This window comes from Homo sapiens, chromosome 12 (genome assembly GCF_000001405.40).
Source record: "Homo sapiens chromosome 12, GRCh38.p14 Primary Assembly".
Classification (NCBI taxonomy): Eukaryota; Metazoa; Chordata; class Mammalia; order Primates; family Hominidae; genus Homo; species Homo sapiens.
In genome coordinates this window covers 74,049,982-74,051,951 of record NC_000012.12, presented here as the reverse complement: position 1 = coordinate 74,051,951, position 1,970 = coordinate 74,049,982, and positions in this window count along the sequence as shown.

Here is a 1,970-nt window from a genome sequence, read left to right as displayed (position 1 = left end):
ATTGAATAAATATTGCCTTTCCAATAGAGGATCTTCCCTACAATTAAAACTCTTTACTCAAAAAAAATCATTTTCTTCCTTATTGCTAAGGCTCAGATATGAAATTTATATCTACCATTCACATGTACCTGAGAGAAATTTTTATTAAAAGTATGGATAAAGAATTAGGGTACGGTGTGTATCTTGTCCTGATGCCAATTTTTACAAAGTTCTCAACTCCAGGTGTGGAATGGCTTCTTGAATTGTCATATTCTGATTATGACAGAGCCAACAACTCTTTTAATTCACCTATTCTACAGTGTAGGGTAGAAAGTTATTTCTAGAATTTGTTTTTTTAGAACAAATTTTTTAGAATAATTTTGTTATTTATGCATTTAACAATGCTTTTCTGCTAGTGATTTTTGTTTTGTTTTTGTTTTTCGTTATCAAGAATTCTGACCCAAAAAACAGTCATATATGTCAATTTCAAGATTTGTTTTAACTTTGAGAAAGCCTAGAGAATAATTTTATGTAAATTTAGTAATCTGCAAATTACGGTACTTAAAGTAGGCCTAAAATATGGGTCTTCTAGGAAAATGATTCAGCTAGGAAATTCAACCTGAAAAATTAAAATTACAATTTTTTACCTTATCTGTTAGTAAAGATTCAGGAATATGCTGGAGTTTTCACCTTTACTTGGTGGTCAGGTAGGCATGTGAGGAGAATTTCTAGAGCAATTAGGGGAGGTTGGAAACTTTAGGAGCATTGCAAAACACAGTTTCTCGAAGGACCAGAAGAAATCCTCACTTCATCGTAAATGTTATTAGCATCAGATTGGATGTGAAGAGTCTGAATGATAAAGAAATTTGCCTAATCAATTAGGGTTGCTTTTGTGTCTCTCTTTCTTTGTAGTCTTTTCTGTGAAGCAATATTATAGGGCATTGGATGATTTTTATCCTATCACTTAGAATAATTTTTAAATGTCTTTACCATTATATTATAACAACTGCCCAGATTAACAGCAGACATTAATTTACCTAACAGTATCTGCTATTTTTATGATGATATAAGAATGTCAAAGAGATGCAAAATTATGCTAGATTACCAGGGTTTTTGTTTGTTTGTTTGTTGTTTGTTTTTTGTCCAGAAGATCTTTGGTACTACATTACTTGAAATGTTTTGGGGATTTAAAATAGAAGTTTTTGTTTTTGTTAGGTTTTTCCCTCAGTGGAGTACACGAGGTAACAACTACACTGTAAAGGGAGTAGTGTGTAAAGAGGATCCCTTTACTGTCCTATGATTAATTTTATCAACTTTTCCTAAAATTAGGAGTGAATACATCATTAACAGAAATAGCAGAAAACAATTAGATAATGATAAGGTAAACTAGAAATGAAACTCTGGATTGCAGTCCTTGAGCTCAAAATATCTGGAATGATAACACTGAGCATGCAGAGGGCCTGCAGACCCCTGTAAGCCCTGTGGAGTGGCAGTCAGAACTTTCCACGCAGAAATTGAGCACTAATGCATTGTTTGTGCAAGTAAATAGGGCGAGCAATTCTTCATTCTCATGCAGGTATATCTGTCTTCAGAAGTGGTCAGAAAATCAGTATCTGCCAACATTTAGATGTGGTACGATTATGGAGCAATGGAAATAGCAATAGTCTAAGAAAAAAGTTAACATTTTACTCATTTTGAAAAGTAATTATAAGTTGAAGAATTTAACTGTCAGCAATCCAGACTCAAAAGGTGTGCAATAAAACTTTCTGGTCTAGGCAGTTATAACTACAGGTTTAAAATAATGTTAAAAGATGAGTTCAGAAATTATTATCTGCTTAGATGGAGACTTCCAAGTTGAAAAACAAAAGTATTTTCAGTGCTTAAAGTGTACCTTAAGCAATATATTGCTTGCTAAATTATTTTTGGCACAAGAAAACGTAATAATATAGTACACATTGGAAACATTTACTACAAAGTAAAGAAACAAAATA